At 50.9% G+C, this 19,557-nt stretch overlaps 3 protein-coding genes and 1 non-coding gene across 14 annotated transcripts in view, besides 4 other annotated features; 1 reads left to right on the top strand and 3 right to left on the bottom strand.

Annotated features, from left to right (window-relative positions):
* LRRC37A2 (leucine rich repeat containing 37 member A2) overlaps positions 1 to 19,557 on the bottom strand; it is a 676,337-nt gene that overhangs the window by 67,748 nt on the left and 589,032 nt on the right. The gene's annotated exons all lie outside the window — the stretch shown is intronic.
* Positions 2,006 to 2,185: a silencer, noted in NCBI's record as "silent region_8620". NCBI's record gives its function as "represses an Ori minimal core promoter by ATAC-STARR-seq in GM12878 lymphoblastoid cells {active_cell/tissue: GM12878}" and the evidence as "EXISTENCE:reporter gene assay evidence [ECO:0000049][PMID:35858748]".
* On the top strand, positions 2,128 to 3,225 carry RPRML (reprimo like). The gene has a single exon (NM_203400.5). The coding sequence runs from the start codon at positions 2,374 to 2,376 to the stop codon at positions 2,734 to 2,736; it is 363 nt and encodes a 120-aa protein (NP_981945.1). The 5' UTR covers positions 2,128 to 2,373; the 3' UTR covers positions 2,737 to 3,225.
* Positions 2,663 to 3,342: an enhancer, noted in NCBI's record as "H3K4me1 hESC enhancer chr17:45055405-45056084 (GRCh37/hg19 assembly coordinates)". NCBI's record gives its function as "activates a minimal SCP1, AML or CMV promoter by ChIP-STARR-seq in primed H9 embryonic stem cells {active_cell/tissue: H9 hESC(primed)}" and the evidence as "EXISTENCE:reporter gene assay evidence [ECO:0000049][PMID:30033119]".
* Positions 3,343 to 4,023: an enhancer, noted in NCBI's record as "NANOG-H3K4me1 hESC enhancer chr17:45054724-45055404 (GRCh37/hg19 assembly coordinates)". NCBI's record gives its function as "activates a minimal SCP1, AML or CMV promoter by ChIP-STARR-seq in primed H9 embryonic stem cells {active_cell/tissue: H9 hESC(primed)}" and the evidence as "EXISTENCE:reporter gene assay evidence [ECO:0000049][PMID:30033119]".
* Positions 5,491 to 19,557, bottom strand: part of GOSR2 (golgi SNAP receptor complex member 2) — a 52,731-nt gene continuing 38,664 nt past the window's right edge. For 4 of the 11 annotated variants that reach the window (NM_001321133.2, XM_017025386.2, XM_017025378.2 and 1 more), the window contains one exon: positions 14,381 to 14,847. In NM_001321133.2, the coding sequence (NP_001308062.1) occupies positions 14,657 to 14,847 (191 nt within the window). In that variant the 3' untranslated portion in view covers positions 14,381 to 14,656. Of the gene's footprint in view, positions 6,183 to 9,999; positions 12,673 to 14,380; positions 14,848 to 16,341; positions 17,685 to 19,557 lie in introns of those variants that run through there. The other 7 variants (NR_148349.2, NR_148350.2, XM_017025383.3 and 4 more) reach the window with 6 other exon arrangements.
* On the bottom strand, positions 8,281 to 8,364 carry MIR5089 (microRNA 5089). Its single transcript, NR_049812.1, has one exon. It is a non-coding gene; the product is annotated as a microRNA 5089 (primary transcript).
* Positions 15,604 to 15,898: an enhancer, noted in NCBI's record as "tiled region #11668; K562 Activating non-DNase unmatched - State 22:ReprW". NCBI's record gives its function as "activates a minimal TATA promoter and a strong SV40 promoter by Sharpr-MPRA in K562 cells {active_cell/tissue: K562}" and the evidence as "EXISTENCE:reporter gene assay evidence [ECO:0000049][PMID:27701403]".

Genomic DNA, 19,557 nt, shown 5'->3' with positions numbered 1-19,557 from the left:
AATGGCACTAATCTATTCATGAGGGTGGTGCCCCTGACCCAAACAATGGCAGCATCTCACCCCACCTCCCAACACCTCCACATTGGGGGTCAAGTTTTCAACAGATGAACTTGGGGAGACATATTCAAACCATAACAGGGAGCAGAGGCTCTGTGATGCCTGTGTGTTGGGGCATCCCGAATCCCTTCACTCCAATTTGCCATGCCCTTTCCATCCCCTTGTCTCCCACTTCACTGTCACCACTGGAATTCAAGTCTCCAGGCAGCATCTTTTGCCTGCATTATTGCAATAACAAAGTGCTTTCTTTACTCTCCTGCAACAATCAAAGCATGCAAATTAACATACGGGTGAGAAACCACCCCTGCCCCCACCCCCCTTCGCTACTCAGGCAAAGACTTTTAAAATAATGATAACAATGTTGGGGGTGGGGAGCCCCCTTTCCCCACAGGGCATGATTGTACACTGGTATATTTCTGGAAAGCAATTTAGTAGGAAGTACTTTTTGATTCTTTTTTTCTTTTTTTATTTTATTTTATTTTATTTTTTTTGAGACGGAGTCTCGCTCTGTCACCCAGGCTGGAGTGCAGTGGCGTGATCTCGGCTCACTGCAAGCTTCACCTCCCGGGTTCACGCCATTCTCCTGCCTCAGCCTCCTGAGTAGCTGGGACTACAGGCGCCCGCCACCACGCCCGGCTAATTTTTTTTTTTTTTTTTGTATTTTTAGTAGAGACAGGGTTTCACGGTGTTAGCCAGGATGGTCTCGATCTCCTGACCTCGTGATCCACCCGCCTCGGCCTCTCAAAGTGCTGGGATTACAGGCGTGAGCCACCGCGCCCGGCCTACTTTTTGATTCTACAGGTCCATTTTTCAAAATACAATCTAAAGAAAAATCAGTTTTGGCACAAATACTTTGTTACAAGGCTCCTTATGGTAATATTGTTTCTGATGAAAGAAAAAAGAAGACAGAAAGAAAGAAAGAAGAAAGAAGAGAAAGAAAGAAGAGAAAGAAGAAGAGAAAGAAAGAAGAAGGAAGGAAGGAGAGAAGGAAAGGGAGAAGGAAGAAGAAGGAAAGAAAAACTCAGACATCCAGCAGGAAGCTTGGTTAAATAAACTGTAGTAGTCCATACCTTAAAATGCCATTCCTTCACTAAAAATGATGTTGTAGCTCAGTAGTTTGTGCATCACGTGGGAACTGTTAGAAATGCACATTCTGGGGCCCCATCCCACATCTGATTCAGAAACTCTTGGGGTTGGTTGGGGTGGGGAGGTTGGGGGCGGGAGGTGGAAGCAATCTGGGTTTTAATAAACCCTCCAAGGCAATTCAGAGCCATAGCTGTAGAGGACCATCGCTAGGGAAAGTTACGCTGTTAAGTGAGGAAAGGTTGGGAGGCAGTAAGCAGGAACGGTGCATCCCCATATCTGTTATCTAGAGAAAGGCACAAATAGAAAAAGTCTGGGAGGAGTTTATACCCAGGTGATAACATCGACACTCTCTAGGAGGCAGATTATAAAGTTTTAGAGTAATTTCGGTAATTCATGTTTTCTAAACTAGTCTACAATGACTATGTTTGTGTAAAAAAGAAAGAAAAAAACAGTAATTTATTTTTTAATTTAAAAAAAAAGTTAAATGGGACCAAGTTGAGAGGAGGGTGTAGGGAAGGAGGCAGAGAGCCCGCCTCGCCGCGACAGCTTTCACCCCGGGAAAGCTGTGAGGCAGGACCGCCCAGGAGACCCGGGGCCAGTGGAGTGGGCAGCGCCAGGGGTCCCGGCGACTCATCTGATGTCTAGCAAGGCTTACGAGGGCTTAAATAATAAGCGAAGAGAGTCAGGGCAGATTCCGGAATAACTTCACTGCTAAGGGTATCAAATCCTGGAATGGGCACCTTGGAGAGGTTTTCTAGCCAAGAACGGACAGCGGGTGCCAGGAGGGGGTGGAGTTTCGCCGGCCCGCGGACAGAGGCTGCCGGATCTCCCGACCCCCTCCAGCACCGGGACTCCGGGGAGGCTGCGCCCGCGGCGGGATTCCCGCCCCTCGGAGATGCCGCGGGGACCGGCGGGGCGGGGCCGGGCCGTTGCTAGGGGAGGGGCGGCCAGGCGCGCGAGGAACCCAGCGGGCGACCGCTAAGCACACTAGGTTCTCCGGCTCCAGCTCCTGCGCCGCCTGTTGCTCGCTCCTCCGGGCGGTCGCTTCCCGCCCGGTGCCCAGGGGTAGGCGGCCCGAGAGCGCGCAGGCAGCCAGCCTCCCGCCTTCGTCCCCTCCCCGTACCGCAGGAGCCGGTCCGAGGGGTCCGGAGCGTCCCTGAGAGCGCGGACCCCGGCGAGCAGCCCAGTGCACCCGGGACTGCGCGCCGAGACCCCCGGCGCCGCGCGGCGATGAACGCGACCTTCCTGAACCACAGCGGCTTGGAGGAGGTGGACGGCGTGGGCGGCGGCGCCGGGGCCGCCCTGGGAAACCGCACCCACGGGCTGGGCACGTGGCTGGGCTGCTGTCCAGGGGGCGCACCGCTGGCCGCCAGCGACGGGGTCCCCGCGGGGCTGGCGCCCGACGAGCGCAGCCTGTGGGTGTCGCGGGTGGCGCAGATCGCCGTGCTCTGCGTGCTGTCGCTTACCGTGGTCTTCGGCGTCTTCTTCCTGGGCTGCAACCTGCTCATCAAGTCCGAGAGCATGATCAACTTTCTGGTGCAGGAGCGCCGGCCCTCCAAGGACGTGGGCGCAGCCATCCTGGGGCTGTACTGAGCGCCATCTGGGTCCGCCCTCGCCAGCGCTGCTGCAAGAAGGACCCCGGAGACCCGGACCCTCGCCCCGCTCTCTGCGCTCTGCCGCCGCCTCCGGGCGGGCAGCTACGTGCCTGGGGCGCCCGGGCGGGGACGCGGCGAGACTGTCGGCGGGGGCGCGGGAAGGGACTTGGACGCCCGGCTCTGTCCTGTGTGCGCTGCAGCGTTGCGGGGTGGGAGAATGTGGGGTGAGGGTTCTTACCAGTTTTTTTTGTTTGTTTGTTTTTTAAGACGTTCGGGGCAGGGTGGGAGTGGGTATGGAGATGCAATTTGGGACTGCGGTCGCTCGCGTGGGAGTTTTGTGTGTACGTTGGTGCGGGTGGGTTCGGAACACGGTGCGAGTGGGTGAAGATGTGAAGCGTCAGAGTCGCTGAGCTTGTTGGCCTGATCTTGCGTTTGGAAAGAAATCTTGTAATAAAACTGCAGCCGTAGGGCTTCAGGCAGCTTCCCACCCGCGCCTGTGAGGTGTGTGTGTGTGTTGCGGGGCGGAGGGCATGTACCCTCCTGGCGGACACTTTGAGCCCCGTGGGAGACATCTAGCCCCTGCGTGGACGCCTGGCTGGGGAGCCCACAGGTCAGGTCAAGGATCCTGGGGCTCCACGCGGAGGCCAGAGCGAGGAAAGGCAAAGGGAATCGTTTTCTAACGCCAACAGCGGAGAAGGCAGGTCCTGTGGGACAGCCAGACAGCTGGTGAGATTAATTAAATCACTGGATATATGAGTCTAATATGAGATGAAACAAAATCAGTCAGCTGTGTCCAAAACGAAGAAAATGTGAACAAGGAAAATTCAATTTGGCAGAGGGGAAAACTAGATCTAGTTAAAAGTTTAATTATAAGGCCAAAGCCCCTTCTAAGGGCTTGCTTTGTCCCTACCCTTATAGCGGACAGATGAGTAGACGGAAGAAACCCCCTTGTTGCATCCCATAGGGGTGGGGGTTGGCGGCTTTGTGGTGAGGAAGTCCCAGGATGTTTATTATACAATGGAGAAAATGGCCTCCAAACGCAGTTGCCTGCAGGGGACTTGGAGCCTCCCATTACAGGATGCCCCAGCTGCCCAGAAACCCACGCCTCCTGCAGGTGCTAACTTCCCTTGCAGCAGTGTGGAGCAGCAAGAACTGGCTACTCCCTAGCGGACAGCGAGAGGACAGCTCTGCTTTCTGGAAGTTGGGGACAGGGGGACCTGGGGACACTGGAGGAGAGAAGGCTGGGCTTTCTGGCCTATGTATCCCCCACTACACTTAGTCCTAGTGCCAACCCCGCTCAAGCGGTTCTTGGAAGACTTGGTCGGGGAGAGACTGGATTTCTCCCTTTCTTCTCTCTTTTGCTGTGGGTGGGAGTGAAGAATAACGAGGAAGGTGACTGAAGTCTTAGCTGCTTTTAGCTAAGAGAAGCGAAGGGAATGCGATCCCGTGTATTTGGCACTAGTTTCATTAGGGAGAGGCTTGGCACAGGTGGGGTGGGGGAGTTTCTCGAAGGCACAGATGGTCCCTGGCTATGAAGGATCCAGAGTCGTCCTGGCTCCCAAGTGCTCCTGTGTGGTCAGAATTATCATGATCAGGATGTGCCCCATCCCCCAACCCTGGTCGTCCCAATCTCAGACCTGGGAGAATTCAGGCCAGGCCAGTGAGGGGAGGAACTGACACTCCTTGTAAAGTGTCTCTGGGGGAAAAACCCCGAATGTGGAGAATGTTCTGTTGATGGTTTGGTGTGACTTGCAGGAAGTCCAGCCTGATCTGGGGACAGCAGCCTTCAGTGACTCAGGCAACCTGGATAAGTGGCTTCGTCATGTAGGTGGTGCAGTTATCTGGAGTCTGGGCTGCCCTCAGTGGTTTGGGGAATGCAGCTCAGACAGCTACAGGCATTTGCGTAAAATCCCAAATGACCAGAAAATGGTTTCAGAAAGAACACAGGCTTACACGCTTTTCCACCGGGCCAAGTTAGGGCGAACACTGCGAGAACTCTCCTCTAATAAAATAGGTCTGCTACTAAATGTGACTGGGGCGAGAAGAGAACGAGTCAAGAGTTAAATTTGTTTTTTTGGTTTTTTGTTTGTTTGTTTGAGATGGAATCTCACTCTGTCGCCCAGGCTGGAGTGCAGTGGCGCAATCTTGGCTCGCTGAAACCCCTGCCTCCCAGGTTCAAGCGATTCTCCTGCCTCAGCCTCCGGAATAGCTGGGATTATGGGCGCGCGCCACCATGCCTGGCTAATTATTTATTTATTTATTTATTATTTTTAGTAGAGACCGGGTTTCACCATGTTGGCCAGGCTGGTGTCGAACTCCTGACCTCAGGTGATCCACCCGCCTCGGCCTCCCAAAGTGCTGGGATTACATGTGTCAGCCACTGCGCCCAGCCAAATTTCTTTTTTAAAAACTTTTATCGCCAGGCGTGGTGGCTCACGCCTGTAATCCCAGCACTTTGGGAGGCCGAGGCGGGCAGATCACGAGATCAGGAGATCGAGACCATCCTGGCTAACACAGTGAAACCCGGTCTCTACTAAAAATACAAAAAATTAGCCGGGCGTGGTGATGAGCACCTGTAGTCGCAGCTACTTGGGAGGCTGAGGCAGGAGAATGGCGTGAACCCGGGAGGCGGAGCTTGCAGTGAGCCGAGATTACGCTACTGCACTCCAGCCTGGGCGACAGTGCTAGACTCCGTCTCCAAAACAACAACAACAACAACAACTTTTATCATTTTCTTTCCTTCCTTCCTTTATCTTTCTTCTTTCTTTCTTTCATAGTTCCTTGTCAAAGCAAAGTTAACTGTTCTGAATTTGCTGAAAAGGAAAGCCTTAGTGGGGACACTTTGCAGGATTCTCCCACTGTTTAAAAAAATAGTGAAGACGCGTGTGTACTAACGTGTGTTTGGGTCCCCTGTGGTGTACAAGTCTGCACACGTGGGCACATGGTGTGAGTGTATGCTCACACAAGCAGGCACACACACAGGCACAGGCAGCCTTGTGCCTCAGGAGGAAGACAGCCAGCAAGAGTGGGGTCCTGAGAAGGGGTGAGGGCAAGAGGTCACATTTGTAGACCGTCTTAGTTCTCCCCAGGAGTCCTGAGGCCTGCAGGGTGTTTACTGGGCTGCCTTATATAATCCTTGGGGCAGGGGGCGGGAACACTGAGTTACATAAGGTAAGAGTGAATGAGGAACAGTGCTCCAGGGCAGAGCCAGACAGAGCAGAATCCTGAGCCATCCGAGTGGAGGATGGTTCTAGAAAGCCCCACTCACCCACAACTGCTGTCCATTGAGAGCTCTTCCCAGGATGCACCGATAAATCTCAGAGGGCCTTGGGTTCACAAGAGAGAAGGCCTGGGATCCTGGTCTTCAAAATCCTGGCTGCCCTGCTTCCTAGTTCTGTAACTTTGGAGAAGTAGCTCAACCTCTCTGTGCCTCGGTTTCCTCACCTACAAAATAGGAGCGATAGGGGACCCATAGCTTTCACGACATGATGTGTTTGAAGAAGCCGGCACAATGCCTGGCATTTAATAGACGCTCAATAAGGACAATGAGGGTTATTGTTAGTTTTGTTTATCGTATGAACTCTTTCCCTAAAGTACATTTGGTTCTCTGAAATGGATTCCCTGGACATAAAAAAAAAAAAAAAAAAAAAAAAAAGAAAATAGTAATTCATATTTGAAAAGCATTTGCAGTTTTCAGAGTACTTTCATAAGCATGACGAAAATAGTAGCGAATGCCTAATATGCCAAACACTGAGCTTCCACTCCCTCGAAGAAGGTTTTGTAGCTCCTCCCATTGTACAGATGAGGAAACTGAGGCTCCAAGAGGTTGCCTGAGGTAGCGCAGCTAGAAAGGGGCAGAGCTGGGATTCAAATCAGTTTCACTTGAGATGACCTTTTTTTTTTTTTTTTGAGAGAGAGTCTTGCTCTGTCCCCCAGGCTGGAGTGCAGTGGTGCGATCTGGGCTCACTGCAAGCTCTGCCTCCCGGGTTCACGCCATCCTCCTGCCTCAGCCTCCCGAGTAGCTGGGACTACAGGCGCCCGCCACCACGCCCAGCTAATTTTTTGTATTTTTAGTAGAGACGGGGTTTCACCGTGTTAGCCAGGATGCTCTCGATCTCCTGACCTTGTGATCCACCCGCCTCGGCCTCCCAAAGTGCTGGGATTACAGGCGTGAGCCACCGCGCCCGGCGGAGATGACCTCCTTTGCTCCCCACAACACATTGGTAAGAGGAGCAGATGCTCCTCTAATTTCCTGTTTATAGGAGAGGAAATTAAGATTCTGTTTACTGATCTTGTCCAAGCTCATTCATTCCACCGGTGTCTATTGTAAATCTCCTGTGGGCTAGGCACTGTGCCAGGCACTGGGTGAGCAACGGATGGCAGACCTAGCGTCTGGCCCTGGCCAGCGCCCCAGAAACCCTGGCACTTGCTTTGCTCCCCAGGTAGCTGGTTCCATGCGTCTCAGGGCCTAGGTCAAATCCCCCACATCCTGTCCTCTGAGTCGGGGATAGTACTTCTGGGGTCAGCTGTGCCTTCACCAGCAAGATGTCCCCTAGAACGGGGGAAGTAGGGAGGGCTTACATCACCACATCCACTTACTTTCTTACTTACTTGTCTAAGCCAAGTTCACATAGAGGGGTGCACGGCTGTGGCTGCTGGGGGTCGCCCTCCCCAGACCCCAACTCAGTAGTAGATGGAAAGAAGCCTTGAGCTTTGGGGGTGGCTTCAGAGGCAAAGAATGGAGCATGCGAGGTGGCGGGTACAGCAGAAATGGCCCCCATCCAGCATTCCAGTTTGGGGGAAAGGTATACGTGTACACATGTGTCGCACGCATGCACACACATTTAATAAAAAGGACTTAAGTGGGATTTCCGAGTAGTATCTCTTGAGTGCAGATTCTTGTCAAGAAAGCAAGATTCTTTCTTGTCAATAAAGATCACAGCAGATACACGGGGTGTCCAGGACAGCAAACCCCAGCTCGGCAGACGGGGCAGGTGTCCCAGCCTCTGAGATGACAGCATTGCGGGGTGTTCTGAGGCAGCGCCTGCTCACCCTTGCAGTCATAGTTCTATTACTTAGACTTGAGATCCCATGATAAGTGCACTCCAGTCCATGGATAAGGAGAGTTTAACCCATGGGGAACGCTAGATCTCAACAATTTTCAACAACGAAGCAACAGAGGCTAGGTGTGGTGGCTCATCCCTGTAATCCCAGTAATTTGGGAGGCTAAGGTGGGCGAATCACTTGAGCCCACGAGTTCGAGACCAGCCTGGGCAACACAGTGGGACCCCCATCTATATGGCAAAAAAGAAAAAAGAAAAGAAAAAGAAAAAAGCAGCAGCAGAGTGAGAGTGAGCAAGCCAGCTGTCATATGAGATTGTCATCTGGTTGTGTGGTTAGATAATGGGCTCAAGGTCACACTCAGCTAATGAGTGGCAGAGGCAGTGGGTACAGCAGAAATGGCCCTCATCCGGCATTCCAGTTTTGGGGGCAAGGTATACGTGTACACATGTGGGTTGCACACATGCACACACATTTAATTAAAAGGACTTCAGTGGGATTTCCGAGTAGCATCCCTTGAGTGCAGATTCCAAGGATGCTACTCAGAAATCCCACTGAAGTCCTTTTTATTTGACACTTTCCCACCTGGCTAAGTTAGAGGGAATACTACAAGAAGTTTTACACTCCTAATAAACTTGACGTACAAGACCTAGGTTTGCATGTCAGTGCCAGTATTTTTTAGGTGTGTCTTATGTCGCTCTCCTAATGCTGGGTGCTAAGGAAGTTGCAGAGGTGAAGGCAACTCAGGCTCTGCCCTCGAGATGCTAATAATATGACTGCAGAGACGCTCGTCCACACGGGAGATTGAGTGCTGCCATCCTCTGTGCCTCAATAATTTCTTTTTGGGTAGCCAGCGTCAGCCAGTGGGGTACAGGGTTTGGGGCTACAGAGCAGCTGTAAACCCGGGTTTCTCCTGGGGCTCACTTTGCAGGGGAGTGCCTGGGCAGAAAGCCCGGGACATGGAACCTGTATGTTGACAGCAATGCAGCCAGATGGGCAGAGGCCAACATCCGTCACCAACGGTCACATTGTGCAGACTGCTGGTTCCCTGCTGAGCTGGGGAGGCTGACAAACCTGAATTCCACCTTGTGCTCCAAAGCTGAGGTTCAGCAAGGGCTCGGGGTGCCCAGTGTGCAACCCTTTGCTGGGAATCCTTTCCTGTCCCAGGTTCTCCTTCCCTCTTGGCCAAGAGCCAGAGCTCCTTGCAGGGACTTCTTCCCACTATAGCTGGACTAGAAATGAAGAAGGGAGAGGAGGAGGAGGAGAAAGAAGGGGGAAGAGGAAGCATATGAAAGGACAGCAGGGAGAAGATGGGATGGAAGGAGAAGGGAAGAGAGGAGGAAGAAGCGGGTGGCGGGAGAAGCAAAGCAGGAAGCCAGGGTCTCGCCTCCTGCCCCAGCCCAGCCCCAGGGTTCTGTCAGCACACAGCCTGGGCCCAGCACAGTGCCCACCACAGCAGGCTGTCCCCTCCGGGTGTCTCTATAGAACATAAAGCGGGGAAGCAGCAACACTGAGGGTGATTATGGTTGAGACAGTTCCCTGTCTTGGGAAGGTCCCCCCTCTCCCCCACGTGCCCTGTGCCCTCTGCCTACCCCACCAGCCCCAGGCCTGGCTGTAAGTGTGACCCTTCCTCAGAGCCAGGCCCTGTGCCCTGCCTTTCTCTCTACTTCCTAAAGCTTCCCCCTTGCCGGGGAGGGAGAGGTGCCCAACAGGTGTGGCCCAGAACACAGAAGAAAAACATGCACACAGAACAAACACATGTTAGATGGGTGAGTGGGGGCCTGGTGAGGTGTGCACAGAACCACAGAGCTTGAGGCGTGAGAGACAAGTCTTTGATACAGGCAGGTCGGGGTGCAGGACTTCCCTCCACACTTTCCAGTCATCAGAGAAAGTCGCTTCACCTTCCAAGGCCTGTTTCTTCATCTGTAAAGTGAGGTACTCTAGCTGAGCTCTCTAGGTGGTTGGAAAGTTTAAGTGAGAAAGTGCATGAAAAGCTCCTACATGTACATACATGTATTCATGGAGCCATGCAGCTTTGCCAGGATCTGTGTGGGGTTCAAGGTCAGCAAAGGATATAGTTAGGCCAGGCTAGGGTGGGGCACTGGGTCACAGAGCCCCTAACCCAGCACTGGAGGAGAGCCAAGCCATGCCAGGACCTTGACTATCAGCTCAGAAGAGACTGCAGAAGCCATGGAGTGTGTCCTTATTATATTTTTCCTTTTTAATTAATTAATTAATTAATTTTGAGAAGGAGTCTCGCTCTGTTGCCCAGGCTGGAGTGCAGTAGTGCGATCTCAGCTCACTGCAACCTCTGCCTCCCAAGTTCAAGTGATTCTCCTCCCTCAGCCTCCCAAGTAGCTGAGATTACAGGCACCCACCACCATGCCTGGCTCATTTTTATATGTTAGTAGAGATGGGTTTTCACCATGTCGGCCACGCTGGTCTCAAACTCCTGACCTCAAATGATCCACTGTAAGTGCTGGGATTACAGGCATGAGCCACCGCACCGGCCTATGTTTTAAAGCGATGATACAAGTAATTAACATTTATAGCAACAAAAAAAAGAAAAATGTTGGCAAACAGTAGCCACATTCCTGCAACCTAGAAGGAATCACTATTAATCCTTTGGCATGCAGCCTTTCATATTTTGAGGGATCGATAGAATTAGGTTTGAGATTTTCTCCAGAAAATGTTATTCTAGCATATGCACCACTTTGAACGTATACCGTGATACTGTTTTTCACTTATCAGTGTATGATGACAAAGGTTCATGTCAGTAACTAATATCCACATAAGCCATCCTTCTCAGGCTTGTACCTGGTTCTCTTTTATGCAAACATCACTGATCCCCTATTATGGGGCATAATGCTGTTTCCGGGTCTCTGAGCCCCCGTCCACGTGAGTGGAGCGGCTCCAGTGCACACCCCTGCCTCGCAGACAGGCTTTGATGCAAAAGCTCAGCTGACGACTGATTGTGGCTGGAGTCCTCATGTTGCAGCGTCTCTCCTCTGCTGTCTTGAGTTTTTTTTTTTTTTTTTTTTTTTTTGAGATGGAGTCTGTGTCGCCTGGGCTAGAGTGCTGTGGCTTGATCTCGGCTTGCTGCAACCTGTGCCTCCCAGGTTCAAGCAATTCTCCTACTTCAGCTCACAAGTAGCTGGGATAACAGGTGTCCACCACCACTCCCAGCTAATTTTTGCATTTTTAGTAGAGACAGGGTTTCACCATTGTGGCCAGGCTGGTCTTGAACTCCTGACCTCAGGTGATCCACCCACCTCGGCCTCCCAAAGTGCTGGGATTACAGGCGTGAGCCACCGCGGCTGGTCTTTCTTGAGATCTTTTTGCAGGAAGCATCTTAATGCTTTAGGATGGAAGCTGTACCTGTTTTGAGATGATGGGGGAGATGAGGCAGGACAGCCGTGGGATGGAACCACATTTACTGATCTCCATCACTAAGCACAGTGCTTTACAGATATTATCTCATTACTTAATCCTCCAGCACCACTCTATGCTGGGGATGATCGTCATTTTACAGATGAGAAACTGGAAGCTCAGAGAGGTTAGCTGTAGTCAGCTAGAGCCAGGAGATTTGACCCCCGGTGTCTGCTTGCACAGCCTGTGTTTTTTGTTCCCCCACCCCGCACATCACCAGGGCAGCTGGGGCAGAGGTGGGAGTTGAGGGATGCAGAGTGAGAAAGTGGGCACCAGAGAGGGGGCAAGGGGATCGCGAAAGGTAACAAGCACCTCTCTTGCAATGGGAGAGTTGGGGGACCTCATGCCTTCCTATACACTCAAATCTTCAGGCCAGGCCTGGGAGTCCCCACAGAGGGGGACCCATCTCACTGGTTTGAAGTTATTTGCCAAGCCTCTTTCATTGTTTTGATTCCCGTGAACTCTTCCGTGTTTAAGGCATTTATCCACCAAGCACACTGTCCTTATTGCTGAATAAGGAAACTGTCTGCTGTCTATACCTGCTCATCAGAGCTTCTGGCCATCAGGACAGAGGCTGGTCCCAGCCTGGAGCAGGGAAGCCTGATCGTTCCACGGTTGTTTAGGGTCTCCAGGCATAAGAAAGCAACTCTGGCCCCTCTGCAGGGTGGGGCTGGGGTCCTGTGCAGCTCTCTCACTGTGACATAGGGGAAACAGCCCAGTGGGAGGAGGTGGCGGAACCAGCATTTGAAGGCTGCCTCCTTTCTGGCCACTCTGCCACCTGGCCCACCACCCTCCTTCCTGCTGACACCAGCCAGCCTCCCTGCCCGGCTCTCAGTGGCCCCCCAGGGGGCACAAGGACCAGGGAGTCAACTTGGGGTCTTCAGTCCTCTCCAGAAGGGCAGCTAGAGTGTTCCCCTTGTGGAGAGGGGGAGCTTTGGACCATAAGAAGGCTCTGGAAACCTGGGAAGGTGGATGGAGAGAAGTATCTGGAGTCAGAAAAGGGAGCCAGAGTGGAGGGGAGCCAGAGCGAGATCGGCTTCCGCTTCTCCTGGGAGGCCGGTGGCTGTGAGGACCTGTGCCATGGCCCGGCTGCATCCAGCATGAGAAGCTCAGTACGGAGGCAGCAGAGCAGGTCCACGGTGACTGTGGTGGGGGGCAGGTGTCGGCAGGGATGCTTTCAGGGTAGGACCCATTAGAACAATCATTTTTCAACCTCATGAGAATTACCTGGAGGAGCTTTTAAAAGTCCTGCTTTTGGGGTTGCACCCCAGACCAATTACATCAGAATCCTTGGGGGTCTGGACAGGTCCCAGGATTAGAAGGCCCTTCTGCATTCAATGACTGCAGGTGGTGCTGATCCCAAGAGATGCCCTGATGTTCCAGTCTCAGGTAGCCCCTGCTTTCTGTTTGTGTCCTGAAGATCTGCATGGCCATTGTAGAGGTGCTGGTGGGGAAGGCAGGCAGAGGGCAGGGGACCTGTTCAAGCTGTATGATTACACAGAACCAGCTGTGTGCGCAAGAGCAAGCCAACTAAGTTCTCTGAGTCACACACTAAAATGGGAATCAGAAAGCCCATCCTCTGTGTTTGTCGAGAGGATCTGATGGTGATTGATGAGCTTGGCATGGTGCTCTTCCCATGGCAGGGGCTGGGTGGCTGGTGGAGGGTGTTATGATGGTGATGGTCTCTGCTCCAGCGGTCCCCGCATGGAGGGACACCCCAGGCAGGGCTTTAGGATGTAAGCGTGGGAATGAGTCACACATTCAGTGGGTTGGGGCAGAGAAAGGAGGCAGTGCTGAGAGACAGAGTTGGGACATTTTTTCCCTAAAGATTCAGAAACAGGAGGAGATGTTCAGGGGTGTCCACAGTGCGGAGGGAGAGGAAGAGGCTGGGTCTGGAATGGAGGAAGTTGGAGCAGGGAGGTCTCTGGACGCCTCCTTCCCTGTGGTTCCTTACTCAGAGGTATTCACTGAGTGCCTGACTGGTGCAGGGTGCTCTATGGGGCTTGTTGGAGCTGAAGAGAAGGAACAGCAGTGAGGGACATACAAGGGTCTGCACTGGGCCATGCCATATGCCCCAAGCTGAAGAAGGCCCCCATCCCAGGCTGGTCCTCTTCCCAGGGTCCTGATTCTGTAAGAGCATCACCACTGTCATCTTCCCAGCCACCTAGCAGGAAACCCTGTCTGACTCTGCCCACTCCTTCACCAAGCCTGTCGGATTCTGTGTTCACAGTGGCTCTCCCTCTTGGCCACCTCCCTGCTTAAGCTCTTGACATTTTTGCCTGGGCTGTGCTATAGCCCCCAAATGGTCTCTGGGCCCCCTACCCCCCTCTTTATCTTTCCTTCACTGCCACCAAGGTGATTTGCCCAGAACACAGGTGGCACCATGTTGCTTCTCTCCAGTAGCCTGTAGTCAGTCTCTGTTGTCTACAGAACTGTCTGAATGCTTGAGCCAGTTTTCAAGACCTCCTAGGGGCTGTCCTAAACCCTCTGCACCGGCCCATTTCCCAGTATTTCTCTCCATGCACCTGTGATCCAGCCCCCATGCTGTACCCAGAGAACACTGCAGAGTTCACACTCCATGCCTCTGTTCCTGCTGCTCTGCTTCCCCCAAAATGCCTCTCTCCTTCTCTTCGCCCTTTGAGAACTACTTACCCTCCAAGACCAAGCTCAAGTACAACCTCACCCATGAAACAGAATTATAATCACTTCTCACATATCCCCTCCATACTATCTTCGTATATCTTGGTAATGACAGCTAATGTTGATTGAGCCCTTCTATGTGTTAGCCTCTGTTCATGTATTAACTCTCCTGTTACCATTTTTACTTTACATTTGAGGAAACTGAAGCCCAGCAAGGGTAAGAGACTTGTTTGAGGTTGTGCAGCCAATAAGTGGCAGAGCTGGGATCCAAACCCAGGCAGACTGGTGTCTGAGCTCACACTCCAAACCAGGAGGTAACACGGCCACAGTGCATGGCACATGCCTCGCTCTGCATCCTGTTATGGTTAGGTTCTCATGTCCGTCTTCCCCACTACACTTCCCCTGAGGACCAGAACTGTCTTCCCTGTGTTTGTATTTCCCACACAATTCACTGCGGGAAGGCCACAAACCTTTGTTGGACACACAGCCCTGCTTTCAAGGGACTTCACACATCACAGAAATCAAAGACATTTAATCAAATAAGCAAAACACAAGGAAGAAGGTGAGCATTTTCTCTAGCCAGATTCAAATAAAATTTCATGAAAATGATTTCCCTTTAAGGTGCTAATTAGCATAATGGCCATTTAGAGAGGGCTCTTCACATGCCAGGAATGGTGTGAAGCACTTTTCATAATTCTGATTTTTCTCATCGGCCACATCAAATAATTCTTGCAAGGCAGGTGCTATTGTCATCTCCACTTAATGAAACAAGGCACAAATTGCTCAAGTCACTGATCTGAAATCACAGCTAATAGTTGATAGAACCAGAGTTCAAATCCAAGCCTGAGTTCAAAAGGTATTTGGAGGTCAGGGTGGTGGCTCATACCTATAATCCCAGCACTTCGGGAGGCTGATGCAGGAGGATCTCTTGAGCTCAGGAGTTCGGGTCCATTCTGGGCAACATGGTGAGACCTTGTCTCTGCAAAAAATACAAAAAATTAATCGGGTGTGGTGGGGTGCACCTGTAGTTCCAACTACCCTGGAGGCTGAGATGGGAGGATTGCTTAAGCCCAGCAGGTCAAGGCTGTGCCACTAAATAAGTCACAAGGACCAGGTATCTGAGGGCCTTGAAGAGGTGTGAGGAGGTCACACAATGGGCCATGATCGTGCCACTGCACTGCACCCTGGGCAACACAGCAAGACCCTGTCTCAAAAAAAGTGGTCTGAGAAGGTACATAGCTAGTACATTTCATACTCTCAATTACATTTTTTAAATGAAGCCATGCCTTGATTTTTCTGTCTCATTATTTGAGATGTTGATGGAACATTTTTGTGAGCACTTCTTACTCTGTGGTGATCCCTCAATCACGAAATAGTACTACTGCTACTGGTGACGATGATGAAGAAGATGAGGAGGAGAGAAATGATCCATCGTTAGACATATTATAAGTAGATTAGTAGATGGTTATTTATAGACATTAAAAGTGGAGAAAGAAAGAGAAGGTTAGGTCAAGATGGTGGGCTAAATACTCCAGCCCTGCATCATTATAAACAGCAGGACATATTAAAGAAAAGTCATAGCAGCCAGGCACAGTGGCTCACGTCTGTAATCCCAGCACTTTGGGAGGCCAAGGCAAGAGGATCACTTGAGACCAGGAGTTCAAGACCAACCTGGGCAACATAATGAGACCCCGCCTCTACAAAAAAAAAAAAAATACAAAAATTAGCTGGGCATGGTGCTGTGTGCCGGTAGTCCCATTTACTCAGGAGGCTAAGGTGGGAGGATCAATTGAGCCCAGGAGGTCGAGGCTGCAGCGTGCCGTGATCACACCAGTGCACTCCAGCCTAGGTGACAAAGTGAACTGTGTCTCAGAAAAAAAAGAAAGAGAAGGCATAGCATTGCTGGAAAACAGAAGGGGTGCCCTGGGTGGAGCAGAAACCACGAGGATTTCCTGGAAATTGGATGGCAGATTAGGTCACGTTGAGGGGGAAGCCCACAGTCCACAGATCAGACAAGCAAGGTCCAACACAAAAGCTGGGAACTGCTCCAGGGTGCCCCAATCTGGGGCACAGTGGACAGGGAAGCAGGAGCCCTGGGGTGCCACAGAAGTCATAGTCAGAAGGACCAGCTTTCTCTCTCCTTGTCCCAGCACTTCTTGTCAGCACAGGCAACACTCAGGCTTTGTCATGAGCAGGGCACCAGGGAGGATGCAGAAAAGGAGAAATCATTTGTACCCATGGGAGGTTGAGATGCACTAGCTGTAAAGACTGGGACAGGTTTGCAATTGCAGTGAGAAGGCAGAGCTGCCCCCAGAGACATCCTTCCACTATGCCCTGGGCCCTGCCCACCCGAGAACATGCCTTGTTATTCCTCTGGCTGCAGACTAGGATAATGAGATACTCCACTTCTAAAAATGTGATTTTATATTAATGTTTCTGGGATACATGTCTGGGCCATCACACATGTACTTACCGGAGGGTGAAAAACTCCAGTGAATTGCCATGGAGATGAAACCTGGAATGAGGTTGCCATGGTAACTAAATTGTTTCTGAAAGGCCACATCACCTTGGAAAGTAGGAAGCTCCTGTCAAAGCCTTGCAGTTAGAGGCCAAATCACAGACCTTCCCATCAGGGCCGGGTGCTCTTTCCATTTCTTTGATTTCTCCTTTTTTCTTTTCTTGTCATTTCCAAGGACAGGTAATTTTAATTTTGGAGCCCTTAATCAAGGTCTGGCTGTGCCACTAATAAGTCATGGACACCAGGTATCTGAGGGCCTTGAAGAGGTGTGAGGAAGTAGGCTGTCAGCTCCCATCTCTGGCTCTCTACTGACTTGTTGTGTGACCTTGGACAAGTCACTTCTCTCTTGTCCTGGGTCTCCTCCCATCCAAATCGAGGAGGCTGGACTAGATGGTCTCTGAGATCTTTCCCATGTTTTTTTCTCTCTCCCATGGCACTCTGTCTTGCTGGACAACCAGCCTCCCCACCTCTGGCCTCCCCAGCAATAGGCCAGCGAAGCTGTCCGTGGTGCTGAACACTTGGCTGTTGCGCTCCTAGGCCATGTTCTGTTCTCCAGCAGGTCCCGGCTGCTCTTAGAGGCTCGCAGAGGCTGCTTTTAGAGGCTGCTCATCTCAGATCACCTCCATCAGAAGTCTAGAAATCTGTTTGCAGCTGGAGAGAGATTTCAAAGGGCCTTGGATGTCAGAGAGCCCTGGAGGAGGAGTCCAATGTGTCCTAGCCTGATTCTAACACTCGTTCTCAGTGGGTTTTTGATGAAGCCACACCTCCTCTGTGGACTTCAATTTTCTCATGTGTGAAACTGAGGTAGGGACTAAGATGGTCCCTAACACCTGATGTCCCAGAAGAATCCTGGAAGCTTGCCTTGGATATGGGGAAAGGAGAGCCCATACCAACTCAGCCACACTTGTCATCCCGGCACTTTGGGAGGCTGAGGTGGGAGAATCACTTGAGGTCAGGAGTTTGAGATCAGCCTGGGCAACAAAGTGAGACCCTCTACAAAAAATAAGTCAATTACACAGGTGTGATGGCACGCTCCTGTAGTCTCAGCTACTTGGGAGGCTGAGGCAGGAGGATCACTTGAGACCAGGAGTTCGAGACTGCAGTGAGCTCTTATTGTGCTATTGCACTCCAGCCTGGGCAACAGAGCAAGATGCTATTCTCTTTAAAAACAAAAAGGAGAAAAAGAGAAAAAAAGAGAATTCAGCCAGTCCCCACCTCTCCAAAACTCAAGCTTCTCCAGTGGTGACTGTGGGTGGGGAACAAGGCACACTCCCTTGTCAAGAACATATGTTCTTTGTCTGGAAGAAAAGACAGGCAGTGAGCAGATGTAGCATTTACATTTTCTCAAGTGACAACTGAACACTGAGGATGATTAGTGCTTGTTATGAAGTGTGTCCAAACTATAATAAAATCTCCAACTATATCATCTGCCTATTTTTTTTTTTTTTTTTGAGACCGAGCCTCACTCTGTCGCCCAGGCTGGAGTGCGTGGTGTGATCTTGGCTCACTGTAACCTCCACCTCCCAGGTTCAAGCAATTCTTGTAACTCAGCCTCCCAAGTAGCTGGGATTACAGACACCCACCACCACACCCAGCTAATTTTTTTATTTTTAGTAGAGATGGGATTTTACCATGTTGTTCAGGCTGGTCTCAAACTCTTGACCTCAAGTGATCCACCCGCCTTGGCCTCCCAAAGTGCTGGGATTATAGGCGTGAGCCACTGCACCTGGCTGTCATCTGCCTACTTAACTGATCATCTTTATAGAATCCACTTTCCTGGTCAGTAGCACAGGATGAAGAAAGACAAGGAATAGAAAGCTTAAAGGGTGCTCATATAGACATCATGATTTATTGTGAAATGTCTTGTGTTTTTCATCCCTCAGCTCTCCCACTTGGCCACATAATGCAGTGGTTGAGAGTGTGAAGTCCCTTATCAAGACTTCCTTGATTCAAGCCCTGCTTCTATTCTTTATTAGCCATGTGGCATTCTTTCCAAGCCTCAGTTTCTTCATTTATAAAATGGGAGTTAGTTATACATACCTCTAAGTATGTTTGAAAGGATTAAATCACATCATTGATGAAAATGATGAGTTAGCAGAGGGTCTAGCACACACTGAAAGAGATTCTTTTGGTTATCTATAACTGCATAACTACTCCCAGAAATTTCTGGTTTTATGGTAGCCACTTCATTATCTTTCATGATCCTGCAGGTTAACTGGGCTCAACTGCTCAGTCCTGCTGCACGTGATACTGACAGGAACTGCAACCTTCAAGGACTTGGCTGGCTAGAGTGTCTGGCACCTTGGCAGGGACAGCTGGAAGGCTGGGCTCTGCTGAGATGGCTGGACCTCTTTCCTCTCCTTATCAACTCATGGCATTTCCTCCATGTGGCTTCTCCACACAGTCTAGACAGCAGCATAGCTATACTTGATGTATGGCAGCTTTCTTCCCAAAAGTGCAAAAGCAGTTTCCAGACCTCAATAATTGGCCCAGAATCAGCATACTTTCTCTTCTGCCACATCCTGTTTATTAAAATGAGTCACAGGGCCAGTCCAGATTTGATGTGTGAGGAGACTAAACAAGGGCATGAACACTGGGAGGCATGGTTCATTGGGGGTATCTTTGAAAATCAACTACTACACTGATCAATACTTTTTTTTTTTTTTGAGATGGAGTCTCACTCTATTGCCCAGGTTGGAGTGCAGTGGCGCAATCTCGGCTCACTGCAACCTCCACCTCCCGGGTTCAAATTATTCTCCTGCCTCAGCCTCCTGAGTAGCTAGGATTACAGGCGCATGCCATCACGCCCGGCTAATTTTTTATGTATTTTTAGTAGAGACAGGGTTTCACCATGTTGGCCAGACTGGTCTCGAGCTTCTGACTTCATGATCTGCCCGCCTCGGCCAAAATGCTGAGATTACAGGCATGAGCCACTGTGCCTGGCCCCTATTTTTATTTTTGGAATTCCAACTATGCCCCACTCCCTTATCCTCATTTTAGAAATATCATGTTTTTGGATTTGCACAGTTTTTGAACAAGTATTTGTTGATTAAATAAAATGATTTGGAATCATTGGTCAGCCCCTAACTATAATCCCCTAGGGTAGCAGTCATGTTTCTGTTTCTCCTGTGTCATCTCACAGGCTTCAGACAGGGCTCTGCATACAGTAGG

This window comes from Homo sapiens, chromosome 17 (genome assembly GCF_000001405.40).
Source record: "Homo sapiens chromosome 17, GRCh38.p14 Primary Assembly".
Taxonomy (NCBI): Eukaryota; Metazoa; Chordata; class Mammalia; order Primates; family Hominidae; genus Homo; species Homo sapiens.
Note: the sequence above shows the minus strand (reverse complement) of the source record. Positions and strands in the feature narration are given on the sequence as shown.

Excerpts from the sequence above, each read along its gene's own strand:
- RPRML (NM_203400.5), top strand. The coding sequence starts at position 2,374 with ATGAACGCGACCTTCCTGAACCACAGCGGCTTGGAGGAGGTGGACGGC.